At 45.0% G+C, this 15538-nt stretch overlaps 1 protein-coding gene across 5 annotated transcripts, besides 1 other annotated feature; it reads right to left on the bottom strand.

Moving 5' to 3' along the window:
* Positions 1-2477: 2477 nt before the first annotated feature.
* CBY2 (chibby family member 2) lies at positions 2478-14717 on the bottom strand. Of its 5 annotated transcripts, XM_011534971.3 has the most exons (4): positions 14572-14717; positions 14182-14262; positions 13446-13526; positions 2478-3855 (listed from the first exon to the last, which is right to left on the bottom strand). In XM_011534971.3, exons 1-4 carry the CDS (start codon positions 14644-14646, stop codon positions 2665-2667), a joined length of 1428 nt encoding a protein of 475 aa, XP_011533273.1. In that variant the 5' UTR covers positions 14647-14717; the 3' UTR covers positions 2478-2664. The 5 variants fall into 5 exon arrangements, with proteins under 5 accessions (XP_011533273.1, NP_689932.1, NP_001273271.1 ...); NM_152719.3 differs by lacking the exon at positions 13446-13526; NM_001286342.2 differs by lacking the exons at positions 14182-14262; positions 14572-14717 and adding an exon at positions 14522-14568.
* Positions 15205-15504: an enhancer, noted in NCBI's record as "active region_7682". NCBI's record gives its function as "activates an Ori minimal core promoter by ATAC-STARR-seq in GM12878 lymphoblastoid cells {active_cell/tissue: GM12878}" and the evidence as "EXISTENCE:reporter gene assay evidence [ECO:0000049][PMID:35858748]".

The following is a 15538-nucleotide window of genomic DNA, read 5'->3' as shown; positions in this document are numbered from 1 at the left end:
GCCTCAACCTCCTTGGCTCAAGAGATCCTCCCACCTCTGCCTCCCGAGTAGCTGGGACTACAGGCACATGCCACAGTGCCCAGCTAATTTTTATATATTTTTTGTAGAGACGGGGTTTCACCATGTTGCCCCGGCTGGTCTCAAATTCCTGGGATCAAGTAATCCGCCCACCTCAGCCTCCCAAAGTGCTGGAATTACAGGTGTGAACCACCACTCCTGGCCCCAAAGCCACTTTTAAACTTAATTTTCAGAGACCAGAGTTACTTGGCAATCTGGTCTCATAGAAGGAATTTGAGATCTGCAGTCATTTGGTCTACACTGAATTCCCTGTTTGGCTCTTATTAGCTCGCTAACCTCTGCAAATCCCTTGGAGTTCCTGTTTCCATATCTGTGGAAGAAATGATACTGCCTTCCTTACAGGGCTCTGAGGATTACTGGAGGTCATATCAAGTGAAAAGTGGTGTGCAAAGAGTTCTGTGGGTGCGGGTGACTGCCTTTGGCTTGTTCAAGTCTCAGAAATTTAGCCAGCATGAACAGTGGATGAGGAGTGAGGATATTCCAGTCTCAAACTCTTGTCTGTCTCAATACAAAGATCAGTTTTCCATCAGCAAAATGGGTAAACTTCTTTCCTTAACATGTGACTACTCACTTATTTTCATTACTAGTGAATGCAGCATTACATTGAGAATCAGAAGGCTTAACTATCCTACTACAGTGATTCCTAAACTTTGCTACATATTGGAATCACCTGGGGAGCTTTTACATGCACCACTGCCCAGTCACAGCCAATATCAATTAAATCATAATGTCTAAGCTGGGGTCCAGGTGTCAATACTTGTCAAAGACCCTCAGGTGATTCCACTATACAGCAAAGTTTAGGAACCACTGACCAACTCCCTTTTATAGTCACCTAGGAGTACCTTTCAATTTCTTGACTCTAAAGTATGTCCAACTTTGAAATGGGCATTGAAGCCCAGGACAACAAATCTTGAGCCTCTGCACCTGCCCCCAGTAAGCCTGACAGCCAACCACCCTCATCTCTTGCAGCCAACTGGTAAGTGTGAACCATGAGTAAGTAGAGGGAATCCGAGGGTAGGGAAGTGAGCCTGGGGTTGGGGAGAGCACAGGGCACTCCTTCCCAAACTGGGTGAATAACAGAGAAAACACAGAAAAAGATTTCAAGATCACATCAAATTGGGTAATTAGGGGTTCATCCAGGATAAGCAGATTACTTCACTGTAGGACTTGTTAGGACCTTTAAGTCAGAGTATGATTATGAATCTGCCCGAGGGGATTCTAGCAGCATTTCCTCATGCAAACCTTTATTTTTCTCAGTGTATTTCTAGGACTTGTGTTTCAATCAATGGTACTTGGAGAAACCTATAGTAGTGTTGAAATTTGTCCCCCAGGGGACATTCAGCAATGTCTGGAGACATACTTGGTTGTCACAGCTGGGAGCCAGGTGGCTGTTACTGGCATTGAGTGGGTAGAGGCCAGGGATGCTGGTAAACATTGTGCAATGCACAGGACAGACCCCAGCACAGACTTATCCAGCCCCGAATAATAAAGGCACAATCGAAAAGCCCTGGCTTAGGGTGATCTCTTCCCCCATAGACCTACCCCCACCCCCATAGCCTCAGAAATTGGAGATGATGAGGGAGCAAGAAGGATAGGAGAAAGAGAAGAGGAGGAAGAAAAAACTAAGGAAAAAAAGGAAGAACTGAAGGAGAAAAACAGAGACAATAATGAAGGCAGAGGTAAAGAAGAGACCAGGGGAAAAGAGAGAAGAAGCCAGATTCATAATTGTCTTGAGAGCAACCAAGATGTTCTTTAGTAGATGAAAGGATAAACTGTGATCTATCCAGACAATGGAATTTTATTCAGTGCTAAAAAGAAATGAGCAGTCTCTGAATCTATGAAAAGACATGGAGGAAACTTAAATGCATATCCAAGTGAAAGAAGCCAACCTGAAAAGGCTCCACACTTGGCGATTCCAACTATATGACATTCTGAAAAAAGCAAAACTATGAAGACTGTAAAAAAGATCAGTGGTGGCCAGAGGCTGGAGGGGGAGGGAGGGATGAACAGGCAGAGCACAGAGGATTTTTAGCGCAATGAAAATACTCTATATGGTACTACATATACTCTATAATACTCTATATGGTACTACAATGGTGGCTACATGTCACTATGCATTTGATCAAACCCACAGAATGTACAACACCAGCAGCAAACCCTAATACAAACTTACGGACTTTGGAATAATTATGTGTCAATGTAGGTTCAAAGACTGTCACTAGTGTACCTCTCTGGAGGGATGGTGATAATGCGGGAGATTATGCATTTGTGGGACGGGAGTCTATGGGAACTCCCTGTACTTTCTGCTCAGTTTAGCTGTGAACCCAAAACTGCTCTAAAATATTGTCTATCTTTTATTAAAAGAAAGAAAGAAAGAAAGAAAGAAAAAGGCAGCATGCTGGTGTCAACTGGCCCCAGCCTCCTCACACCTTTATTAAAACTCTGAGTTTAGGAAGGCTGCTAACGCTGCTTTTCAATAGGTACGAACTGGCTGGGGAAGGCGAGGACGACAAAGGAAGGCAGGGGATTCTCTTTTGCCCAGTGTTCGGTGTCCCAAACTCGGCGTCCCGGTGCAAGGCCGAGGCCTCAGACCCTGCTAGGCTTCTTGGGGTCCTGGCTCCTGGCCGGCATGAAGGCGTAGAGCTCCTCGATGAGCATTTCCATGCGCGCGGTGACCTCGGTCACGGTGTCAATGACCAGCTTCTGCTGCAGCTTCAGCTTGTTGTTCTCCCACAGGGCCTTGTTCTCCTCCTGGAAGCCCCTGTGCTCTGCCCGTAGCACCTGCAGGGTCCTGTTCTCCTCCTGCAGGAGCCGGTTCTCCTTGAGCAGGGCCTGCAGCGCCTGCCTCATCTCTCTCAGCAGCTGCAGGGGCTGGCAGCCGTCGGGCAGGCCCGGGCCCACCTTGGCCTCCTCCTCCCCGGAGGGCCCGGACATGTTGCTGACCATCTTCCGCAGGGCGCGCAGCTCCTTGGAGTCCTCCTGCCGGGCCGGAGGCCCTTTGGGCTCCTCGAAGCGGGAGGAGAGGCCGGAGCCCTGGTCCTGCAGCAGCCCGGGGCTGCAGGGCTCCTCGTGGGGTGAGGGGGCGGGCTTGCTTTCCTCGGCAGGGGCGGCCGTGTCCTCTGCCTGCGCCCAGTAGGCCTGTTTCTGCTCCAGCAGCTGCTGCAGCGCGCGATTCTCCTCCCGGAGGAGCTGCAGGGTGCTGTCCTCCTTGCCACGGGGCACCTGCAGGGCGACGTGGTCCTTCTTCACCACCTCCAGGGACGCGCTGTCTTTGTGCAGCAGTGGCGAGGGGGCCCGGCTCTCCTCTCGGCCCAGCGAGGCCTTGTGCTCCTCCCAGAAGACCTGTAGGATCTTGTTCTCCTTGCTGAGCATCCGGTTCTCCTCGCGCAGGGCCTTGTTCTCCTCCCGCAGAGACTTGTTCTCCTCCTGCAGCATGCACTCCTTGGCCAGCCTCTTGTGGTGCAGCTTGTGGTGGAAGGAGGCGGATGGGGAGAAGTAGGGAGACTGCAGGCGGCAGTTCTCATTTACCCAGCGCCCGTCCTGGAACACGAACATCTCGTCGCTGAGCTGCACCCGCGGCGGGTTGTAGTCCAGCTCCAGGTCGGCCTGGGACATGGGGCGCTCCATGGGGTCTAAAGGCACGGAGGAGAAGCGGTTCAGTGGATAGGAGTGCTGGCTCGCCATCCTGCGGCTCAGCCGGGGCAGGGCGGCCTGCTGCGCGCAGCGAGGGGTGCTGTACAAGTTGTGGAGCCTCGGGAAGGGTTCGGCTGTGCCCCTCTGCGGGAGAGAATGGGAAAGCCCAGCGTTAACGATGGGACTGACACACTTGGGGCTGGCTGACAAAGGGGCCAGGACATCCCCAAATAAGCCCCGTCTGATTGTCTGGCCTGGCCACAGTGGGCGCTTTTGCTTCTTGGGGTCCTCACAAGGAAATGTGGCCTATCCTTGTCATTCCAGTGAGTTCTGTTCTATGAAGTCAGTTCCAATACTGAATTAGCAAATATAGAACCATTGCTCCTACAGGAAATAGAGGGCTATGTTCCTGTGAGCCTGTGGTCACAGTTTTGTCAACCAAGCAATACATAACCTCATTTAGTGCGTATTGTTGATTCATTAACATCAAATTCACGTCAGCAGCACTGTCACGCATGCCCAAACAAAACTTCTCTAACACATGTGTTTTCTCCATGTGGCACAGCATAGCCTTCTTGTGATTGGGAATACTAGACAGCACTTGACTTGGAATGGTACAGAAGCCATTTTTAACAGCAAAATCACCAACAAAATGCACAAGAAGGCAAAACAAAAAAAGTGGCACTAGATAGACTGCGCAATGGACACTATTTTCTAGCCTGAGAGCTGAAACAAGAAGGCTCCTTGGCTGGGGACTCAACTTCACACAACTCAAATTTTCACCTCTCCGTGCATGTCTGAGAATTACCATAAAAGTGCTACAAGTATTGATTTGGTGGATACACATTTTAGCAAGTAGGCAAATTCACAAATATGGAATCCGTGAATAATAAGAAACAGTTATATATTATGGTGGTCAAAGGCATTCATTTTAGAGTCAACCAAATATTTTGAGTCTTTGCCTCACTACTTACCAATTAACAAGAATTTGAGCAAGTTATTTGAGCTTTAATTTCCACATTTTCAAATTGGGATAATTGCATTTACTCCTTGCCTCATAGAGACATTTTTAGGATTAAAAAAGGCAATGTACAAAAGCACTAAGCATGGGCTCTGGCACATTCTGTCACCCTAAAGGAGGAACAAACACTGTTCTCAAGGGCCACCACCCACAGATGTGTACTCACACTTAGCATGAGCAGAGAAGCAGCATGAATCATCCAAACAGCCACCCAAATTGCTGTGTCCAAAATGGCGGTGCCGTTGGTCAGCCCAGCCTTCTCTCTTGCCCATCTGGGCATATCCTTCACTCTTAGCCACCCTTGAGTCTTTTCTGCTAGCAGCCCCTTAAACATTCACCCCAGCTTCTAATGCAATGCTAGACTCAAAGCAGAGTCTAACTAATAATTTTGGAAAGAAAGAAAACCCATCCCAGACATATCACTGAGCAATGAGCGTTCAACATGTGGTGATAAAGCCAGTCAAGGACCCTGAGGAATTCATGATGGTGGCCATAGACCTCAAGACCACAGCATAAAACGGGGCTCAGATCCACAGAGCTTAACTCCAATGAGCTGGTAGCTTTCACACATCCCAGTACAGAAAAATAACTCCAGTGAGTTTTAAATGCAGATTTCTGAGCCTCCCATTGTGAGTCTGATTTACTCAGACTGGGGTGTGGCCCAGGAATCTGCATTTCTAACCAGCTCCTTCAGGTGTTCCTGGCTGCAGGTGGTTAGGACAGATCTAAGTCAAGTAGAATAGGCAATTTGCTTAAGTGAGGGTTGCACCAGCATTACAGACTGAAAGGTCACAAGAATTCTCATCCTGATTTTGTCACTGATGGGCACTTTGAAACCAGACAGCTCTCTTATCCTCTTTGAGACCCAGACTTTTCACGAGTGAAAAAGAGGGAGTCGGGCTCCATGATCTTAAAGGCACCTTCCAACATTGAAAAGTCAATGAAATATACCTGTAAAATAGAAATAATATGTGCCCTGCTTAGTTCACAACACTGTTGTGAGGATTAAATGAGATAATGAATGCAAAAATATTTTTAAAACCAACAGTGCCAAAGAACCATAAGGTATTATTATCAAGAAGAGTAGATTTCACTAATGCAAGAATTATAAGATGTATTCAAAAAGAAGTGAGCAAGTAGAATGCACACTAGAGAAGAGGTGATGATTGCAGCCATGAATTTAAGTAAACAGATCATGATAGCTACTTCCAAATACACCAAAAGTACTTCATCCAAGTATATCAAAATGCTCTCCAGATATCAATTCCTTATGTCTTAGGTTACTTTCACAACCGTACAGATAGAGAAAATAAAAAACAAGTCAGGCTAACTACATTATATATATATGTGTGGGTGTATGTAGAGAGAGAAACACAATTTGCATGGTATATAAAGTTGGTTAGAATTCTTTAAAACTTAAAGAGCTAGATAAATAGAAGATGCAGTTCTATGCCATTAACTTTGCAATAAGCACATGTCATTAACTTTGTAAGGATACGCTCAATCTTCCAGATAGCAAGGGTATGAGGGCATTCTGCAAGCGGAATTTTATTTAGTTTAAAAAAGTTCAGCCTCCCTGGTTTTCACATTTCTCAACTGGGAAAGCAGATTGGCTCCTGTAGCTGTCTGTGATCAGAATGAACCTCACTGTGGATAACCTAGACCATTTTCTGATAGGTTTAAGGTCCTGAGATCCAGGATTTCTGGGAAGACTGGTCAAAGCCAAAGACGTGAATGTTTTGTTGTGGTGGTGGTTTTTGTTGTTGTTGTTGTTGTTGTTTTGAGACGGAGTCTCACTCTGTCGCCCAGGCTGGAGTGCAGTGGTACGATTTCGGCTCACTGCAACCTCCGCCTTCCGGGTTCAAGCAATTCTCCTGCCTCAGCCTCCAGAGTAGCTGGGACTACAGGCGCGTGCCACCACGCCTGGCTAATTTTTTGTATTTTAGTAGAGACGGGGTTTCATCATGTTGGCCAGGATGGTCTCGATCTCTTGACCTTGTGATCTGCCTGCCTCTGCCTCCCAAAGTGCTAGGATTATAGGCATGAGCCACCGTGCCTGGCAGGAGTGAATCTTAAGAGGTTCTCTCCATCCTTGCACTAGAACTAATACTTTATCTCAGCAGGATTTGACTCCAGAAGCTATCAACATGGAAAAATGTGGTTTTAGTCAACATGTGCATCCCAGTCCTGAGAAGAAAATGGAAGAAGGAAACAAATATTAAGCCTCAATTTCATGCTAGGCCGTGAGCTGAGCATTCTACCTACTAAATTCATTTTATCCTCACCACACTGACATGTAAGATATTATTACTATTCTTATTTTACAGATGGAGAAACTGAAACTCAGAGATGTTAAATAACCAGCACTAGCTCCTTCACTAAGACACAAACCCACTTCTGGCTCCCTGACCTTCTATGTGTGAAGTACACACATGGGAAACCACCATGGATTTATCAAAAGTCCTGCAGTACTTTGGGGAACATGATATCTTTTCCTTCAATTTATATGATGGAAAATTTCAAACATACACAAAAAGAGAGAGAATAGTCTAATAAATGTCCATGTACCCATCACTCAGCTTCACCAAGTATCAAATCAAGGCCACACTTGTTTCACCAGGCCTCAACCTGATTCCACAACCACTCCCCTACCGCTAGGTTATCTTAAAGCAAAGTGACATTGTGTCATCTTATCCACAAATATATAAATATGTGCCTCTTTAACAGAATCACAATACCATTATCACCCTTTAACATTTAACAATTATCCCTCAATATCTGCGAATACTGAGCCCATGTTCAAATTTCCCCAATTCTCATTTCTTTTTAACGATCGTTTTGTTTCAGCCAGAGAGACAATCTTCTTGATCCAACTAAGGGTCCAAAGAGGAATCATGGATGCTTTCTACCTGTCCATATTTGGCCATGATGGCTTTTAACCCATGGCATTCAGCTGCCTGTGTTCTACATCCACCTTCCACACTGGGTACCCAAGGAACATTCTGTCATCCCCTCAACAGAAATACACTAAACAAAACCTTAACATATGGTGGATCCCTAGCCACGGACAACCTGGGTGTTTGTGCCCTGGTCTTTATTCACACATTCAGGTGATCTTGCTCATATCCACTCACTTTCTGACCTTAGTTTCCACTTCTGTAAAATGAAGGGTAAGAGTCATTATCTCTAAGTGCTCTCTTGGCCTAACTGTCTCTGGTCCAGTGGATTTGCATTTGTAAATTGGCACCACTATGGCCCCAGCAGCCCTCTTTTACCAACCTAGTTGGCATCTCGTCCTCTCCCCTAAATGGCCAACTCTTCCCAAGCAGGCTTTGTGCCTTCTCTTGTTCCATGCCCACAGCACCTAATCCAGGAAATGCTGATGGACAAATAAGTCCCCTTTACTTTCTCAACAGGAAACCAAATTCTTCTCCAATGACTGAGTCCTATTATCTTTCCTCCTATCCTCAGACAGGACCAAGAAAGTGGTCAAGTGCAGTGTTTCCTCATGGCTTAATTTCTTAGAACATTTAAAAATTTTTCAGTAGTCATATACTTATTTTAATGAGTAATGGGAAAACATACCTATATTAAATATACAGGCATTTTTAGACATGACAAGGATCATGATTGAACTTCAGGAAAACATTGATCCAGAACAAACTTGTTTTTTCCTGTAGCATTTCTCTGATTCTGATCAGAGCTAGCTGGATTTAATCCTTAAAGGAAAGCTCTTGGCCTTGTGAAAATTCTTCACCCTAGTCATGTACCCACTCAGGATGTTATTGCACCAATTTTTCCCCTACATTAGTGTCAGTGAATCAACTAACATTAATTTGGCACGTACTGTGTTCCAAGCTCACAGACCCTGCCCTCAGGGAATTTCCAGTTGATTTGAAGAATCAGTGAATAGCACCAATTACTTCTTGATGCAAATGAGAGAAGTCAAAATGCAGGAAGCATTAACGCAGGCAGCAAGGTGTGGGGAATAGGGGACTAGAAATGATAACATCTCCAGAGAATTCTGGCTCTGCACTATATGAGTGCATGACCTTTACAAAGTCACTTCATTTCTGTGCCTTAGTTCCTAGAAAATGTGGATGTTGACATGAATGAATCAGGGCCAACCCATATATTTTTGAAATGCCCAACTCTAAAAGGCGCTATTCACTGTTACTGCAGGGCACAACCTGTACAACCCTCTATAACGACCTCACCAACATCTGCCCTACTTCTCTCAGAGGGTTTGTTGTTCAGAAATAAAAGGAGACTCGGAACATTTTCTTTGTTTATAAAGAGCTGCAGACATACAAGAAGGGCTTTTAGAAGAGACATTGCTTAGCATTTCTTTAGAGAAAGATTATATAGAACAAGAAAAAAAATAACACTGAGTGACTATAATGTGTCAGGTTATATGCTAATTGATTTCTGTATTCATATGTAATATCTTACCCAAAGAACTGGCATGATTCTGCATAAGATTACATAGCTGATAAAGGAGTGGAACCAGGGTTTAAAATGAGGATATTTGACTCCAAACTCCATGTTTATTCTAGCACTTCACAATGCTCAGACATTTTATTTTGCATGTGCTAATATCATTACTTTGCAATGGTTCTCTTACAACCAGGCCTGTCCTCTCCCCATATGAGTAAGTTGCAATTATCTAAGCACAGTGACCTATCCCTTGTTTTTGTGACATCCCAAGTCTTGGGAATTAGAAAGCAAATTTCACATGTGGTGGAGGCTTAATGAGTCCTTGGCAATAACTGAATCAACCAAAATACACTGAAAGATTGGGAGGAAATACTAGGTTGAACCATAAGAAACTGTTAACATTTTACCATTTTTGGCCTACAAAAATGGCCATTTCTTTTGCCTTAATATAGTTAGTGTATTTGATAAGCTATATCCTCATTTCCATTCATATTTTAAGACTTTAAAATAGTCCCAGGGCAAAGCTGTTATGGTATGATGTAAAATCTATAAGCATGGAGTTTTCCTCACGTGAATTCCACAAACCCCTAGGTTCATCCATGTACTCCCTTAGAGGAAGCTCCCACCACCCCCTGCACACAAGCACGCTAGTGGTCCCTTTCATCATCTTGAATATATAATCCAACGAGGGTAAACGCCCTAAATTTCCAGTAACTTTGGGCTCAAAAGTCCTTCCTTTGACTGCTCTTGAGAAAGTCATTTTGCCTCTCAGAATGTCACCTCTAAAATAAGCCTAAACATGGCTGCTCTGCCTACTTCCTGGGGTTGCCAGAGGACAAGAAAGTGGTAGCCAAGCTGTCATAAAGACTAAACAGATGGTCAGTTCTACTGGTAAGGTTTAAACATACCCAGCCTAAAGCGCTATGCAACGTGGAGTATATTTCTTTACAAAAGGGCTACCCAAAAACTAAGCATCTGAGCTCAGCGAACATATGCAGTTCCAGGATTCCAGACCTCCTTGGCCTATGTTAGAAGCCAGTTCCTTCTCAGTAGGACTCCTCGACCAGTGGTATCACTGGATTGGTTTCATGGGCCAAGCTAACCTGCCCTGATATCCTTTAGCCCTTGACAAGAGGTCTATGCCAATACAAAGCCCCAAGAACACCCCAGTAATGTTCTCCTAAGCCTGGGAGGTACAGCCTGTGTAGCATGGTGCAACTGACCATGAAAATAAAAGATTGTCTCTTTTCTGGTCTCTAGGAAATGCCCTCACATAGAGATCCAGTAGGTAGGAAAGAAAAAGGTTGGCTTCTTCATGGAGGAATGAGATATGAAGCTGATGCAGAAGGGGAATAAGTTGGTCATGGGCTCATCATGCCTTCCTGTCGGGTGCTAGAAAGGTGCCAAGAGACTCTGTCCTCAGGGGAAATGTGCTCATAGCTGTAACCCAATGATGCATTAGTGACAGGGATCCAGGAAGGGCCATGGGCACGAACATCGCCCTCACAGAAGCCTGAAGTCCCATCTGTGGATTGGAATTCTTCCTTAGCATTAGGTCTGGTGCCCTCCTTGGTAAATATAAGTGGTCCTGGAAGGAAAATGCCTGAAATCTGCCAACAACTGTGTCTTTGTCAGATCACCAACCTGGTGGCAAGTGAAGAACATGGGGGAAGGGGACAATTGAAAGAAGGGAGGCAAAATGCAAAGGCCAAAGGGCAAAAGGAAAAGGGGAAGTGAAAGGACCAAAATCTCTTACTAGTGCTACAGGACTTGTAGCAACAGGTCTCTCTGGGTGGGACCTTCTGGGATAGAATTACTGGGGGTGTGGTTTCCCATCCAAAGAGTTTGGGGATGGGATTGAACAGCAACTAGCCAGGCTTAGCTGACACACACTGATGTCTCTCCACCCCTGGAAAAATGTGGCTACCACAGCCCAGAAGAGATGTCCAAACACTGCTGATAGAGTCCAAGCCTGCTGACCAAGTTTCTTAAACACCAACTTTGCCAACATTACTGAGGGTTACTATCAGAGAACATTCAGCCATCTGAGGTACTATTAAAGCATGTGAAGTTGAGAGGACCCAGGATTCTGGAAGGAAAAGCCAAATATGATACTGATTTTCATATGAGATGACAAGGCTGAGTCTCATTATCATTATTTTAAATTAATTCAGCTCCCTGGTACCATGGCAAAGTCAATGGTGGTTTTAATAAATACTAACAGGTAAAAGGATAATTCACAAGGTAAATGTGATTGATGTTGACAGAATTACAACGTTAACAGCAAAGAGGATAAAGAAGATGTCATATGTAGTATGTTTGCATACTGTTTAACAGAGACTCTCCTGAAATCTTCCTGGGAATTCAAATTGGCGGGTGCTGTCAGCAGGAATTCACTGCTTCTGAGTAACAAGCACAAACAAAGGGGAAGGAGAAAAGGCAACTGGGAAGGATGAAGGAGGCACCGGAGGGTGCTATTGGAGCTCAGTCTGACCTGGTGTAGCTCTTTCATTAATGATCTAGGAGTAAACAATGCCTTAATGAAATTCACAGAGCACGTTCATTGGGGAAACGCGAAAGTCTGTGAGAACTGAATCATTACATACAAAAGGAACCAGGAGATCAGCTAGCTTGGGCTGGAAATGACACTGATGGCTTGCAAGTTAATGTGCTGGAGGGAAAGAGATCAGAAAACACAAATATTTAATGTGAGGAAGAAAAACAGGAAATCAATGAGTCCTGAAAAGACCTTAGGGTGATAACATGTAGTGATCACAGGCATTTCCAATGTAATTGAGAAGCCCAAACGCACAGCAGGACTGGCAGCTGGGAGCCAGAGGCAGTCTCTGGAGACAGAGCTGCTGCCACAAGTCCTTTCTGAAACAAATGGAAAGTGGACTCCATCCCAGAATAGAGCAGCTTTTGGCAAATACAAAATAAGAAGCCCAGAGATGAGTGGTTAAGATGCAGGGAGAAGACTCCATCTCCAAAAAGCAAGAGAAGAACCATGGAGCTAAGATGCAGCATGGCCCAGCTTACTGGCATGTGCCCTAGTATAGCGGAGAACATGGGCACTGATTTGAGTTCAAGCCCCTTCCTCGAGCTCTGCCATTACTAGTGGGGTTCCTGGGGTTGCCGGTTCCTGTACCTGTAAAATCTCTACCTCACACTTGCTTGGCCCCATGCCCGACACATGATCGCACCAACATTCAGTCAATATTTCTTCCTCTCCTTGCTTCCCAGATCAACCCTGTCCCCTAAGCCATGTGCCATCTCATTTAGGGAGGTAGAGTGAGCACACTGGTCCCTCTCGCAGGCCTGGTGGTATTTTGGTTCGGATCATCTAGTTGTAGACACCCACACCCATCCCCCAGAGTGCCAGTCTTGAGCATCCTGACAGGTGTCCAAAACCTGGTGCATGGCTTGTGCCCTCTTGGCAGGTGTACGCACGAAGCTGCATCTGCCCTTGTGAGGTACACGTGCCCAGACAGGAGATATCCTCTCATTCTTCACCCACTCTGCCCCACAAGACCCCAGCAGCAGCACCAGGTCCTCCAGCACAGGAAGCAGGCAGCCCCAAGACAAGCTTGAGCTGTCTTAAACCACCTTCTCTTCTCCTTGATCGTTGGGCTGTTTCTGGGAGCTGGGGAGGGAAAGTTGCGGTGGGTGTTGATGGAAACATCATTCCAATTTCTCTATCACATGACCACTACTCTTTCAAATCCTACCCCCTCCTTCACACCCACCCCTAGGTTGGCATCCTCTGCCTGACCAAGTTTCTTAAACACCAACTTTGCTAACATTACCGAGGGTTACTATCAGAGAACATTCAGCCATCTGAGGTACTTTCAAAGCATGTAAAGTTGAGGGGCCCCAGGATTCTGGAAGAAAAGATTGGTTTATATGGGCTATGAGGAATCACAGCAGTAACACCCACTCTTGGGGGAGTAGTGGCTAACACAACTCCCTGCGTATTTCAGGTGGAAAGAATCAGGCCCAAAAAGATTCCTACAGCTTGTTATCTTGTTGAATGATCAGGGGGAAGTTATCTTATATTCTGGCTAAGATTCATGGGCTAAAAGTAACAGAAAAGTGACTGTTCATTACAAAGTTATAAAGATAATGTGAAAATAAACATCCAGGATGTTTTCTTCTTCCATATTTTTGCCTCCCGCTGAACATACTTGCCTAGATTGTTACAATTATATATATGGAATGCCCACCAGTGGTCAATCCTCCTCCTACACATCCCTGGACAGAGCTCTCAGATAGTTACCTCTGCATTGGATTCCTCCATCCTACATTTCAACCCCTCTGGTTGCATGGCCCTGGTCTTCCAATGAGGACTTAGGTGACTCTGGAGAAAGCAAAGCCACCCCTTTGTGACATAGCAGCAGTAGAAACAATTCAATCAAGAGGACTCCACTAAGGAAACAGCTGATTGCAGGCAGGAGGAGACCTGAGACTCTATAGCCTGTGAGGACTTCACCAATTCATTGACTGAAAAAGCATCTATGCCCATGGCCCCTACATCTGTCTTTGATGCATAGCAGGGCTTAATTCTCTTGACAGCTCCAAATAACTCTGTACCCCTTTGTCCACGGATGAGGTTTTCTTCTCATGGATTCATTCTTATGCATTTGATTTCAAGTCCCAGTTCTAATTCTCCCCCAGAAATCCAGAGTGATTGCACAACACTAAGCACCAAAAGATCTCGTTTTGAGAAGGCTGGGTTACTTCAGTGTATCATAGAAACTTGGAATGTTAGGACTGGAAGTTCTTACCAGATCATCTGACCCAGCCACCTCATTCATGGGAAAAAGAACCCAAGGCCCAGAGGGGCTATGTGGCCTTCCCCAGCACACCGCCTGCTGGCACCCAACCCAAACTATAATCTGAAGCCCTGACTATCTCTGCTTATTCTACAACATCTTGCTAGAGTTTTGAAGGAGGAGATGGGGGGTTATTCTGGCTAACACTGATAGGTTACATCCTTCTGTGATTATCCCTACCTGAGGTAGAACCACACTGATTGGAATTTCTAGGCTTTCAGATCTGGTATCTCTTTTTCTTGTATAATTTGGCCTTGAGTGCTGTGGAAACGAGAAAAGAAGAAGATTACTGCTTCCCAGCTCATCCTCTGGGCCTCAATTGCTCGCCTAAAAAACACAGAACTTTCTACTCATTTATTTCTCTCTTGTCAATTATGTACAATTATGAAAGTCTGAGTCTGAAAGAACGTGTAGATGATATCTGGCATGATGGTTTATCAATCTCTGAACAGATATTAAGCTAGATATTATAGTTGATGTAAAAGGCTTTTGAAAGTTTTTGAAGTGGAGATAGCTGTACCTGCTTCCCTGTCTAAGATGATTATTTCTATCTCAAGTAAAAAGCCATACCAATGTGAGTTGCCAGGTATAGGTCCTATGCAGAAGTTGGTCACCAAAACACTCAGAACATTCCAGAGGTGACATCACAAAACAATATGGTGTTTTTCAGGGCTCATGGTTTCTCTCTGAGCATCACAGGTGGGAATGAGGCATCTGACAGGCAGGAAGAGCTTGTGGGTGCTGTGACTACTTGGCTGGTCAGGGTCAGTGTGACACACACAATAGCCCAAACATTAGCCCCCTGTTGGGTCATTCCAGCTGCCATTCGTATTCTCACTGCCAGGCTAAGTTGAGATCCCTATTCTCTCTCCAGAAGTGGCATCTTCTTGGAGTTGGGTCACTCAAGAAGAAAGAAACACAAACTGAACTCTTCCCATACCAAGGGAGAAAGTGTAGTCTGAGGTGTTTTCTGACACTACTCAATTCCTTAATTCTCTGACACCAACTGTGTGCCCTACAATTCAATTTCATCCTGATGCTATCTACCAGAGTTAGTGTTACAGAGCTGAAGCGGCTCACTACCCAATGCAATAGAAGCCAATACTAAAACACTAAGTTCTTTAAAAAAGAAAAACTTGTATATTGAAAGTCAACTCCCAAGGAGACAAGAGTCAAGCTCAAATCTGTCTCTCTGTGCTGACATTAAGGTAGTATTTTTATTAGAAAAGATTCAGGGGGTGGATTCTGAGATTAGTAGGTGATTGGTGGATGGAAATGGGAGGTCTGGAAAGTCCCAAAGAGTAAGAAACCAGTTACTTAATTTTTGAGTTTCAAGATAGCAGATAAGAAAAGAAACTTAAGCCGCTGAAACTCCCTCCACTTGTGAGATCAAGAAAAACCTGGCTGAAACTGGTTGGAACCAAGATGGCTAACTGGAGCTTGCACAGAATAAGCTTGCTGATGTCATAGCCTGAATTTCCACCACGTTTCATACTAACTCTCCCTGAATTTGCCATGCAACTCAGGAGTTAACATG

This window comes from Homo sapiens, chromosome 13 (assembly GCF_000001405.40).
Source record: "Homo sapiens chromosome 13, GRCh38.p14 Primary Assembly".
NCBI lineage: Eukaryota > Metazoa > Chordata > Mammalia > Primates > Hominidae > Homo > Homo sapiens.
The sequence above is the reverse complement of the archived record's forward strand: the minus strand, read 5'-3'. Positions and strand labels throughout refer to the sequence as shown.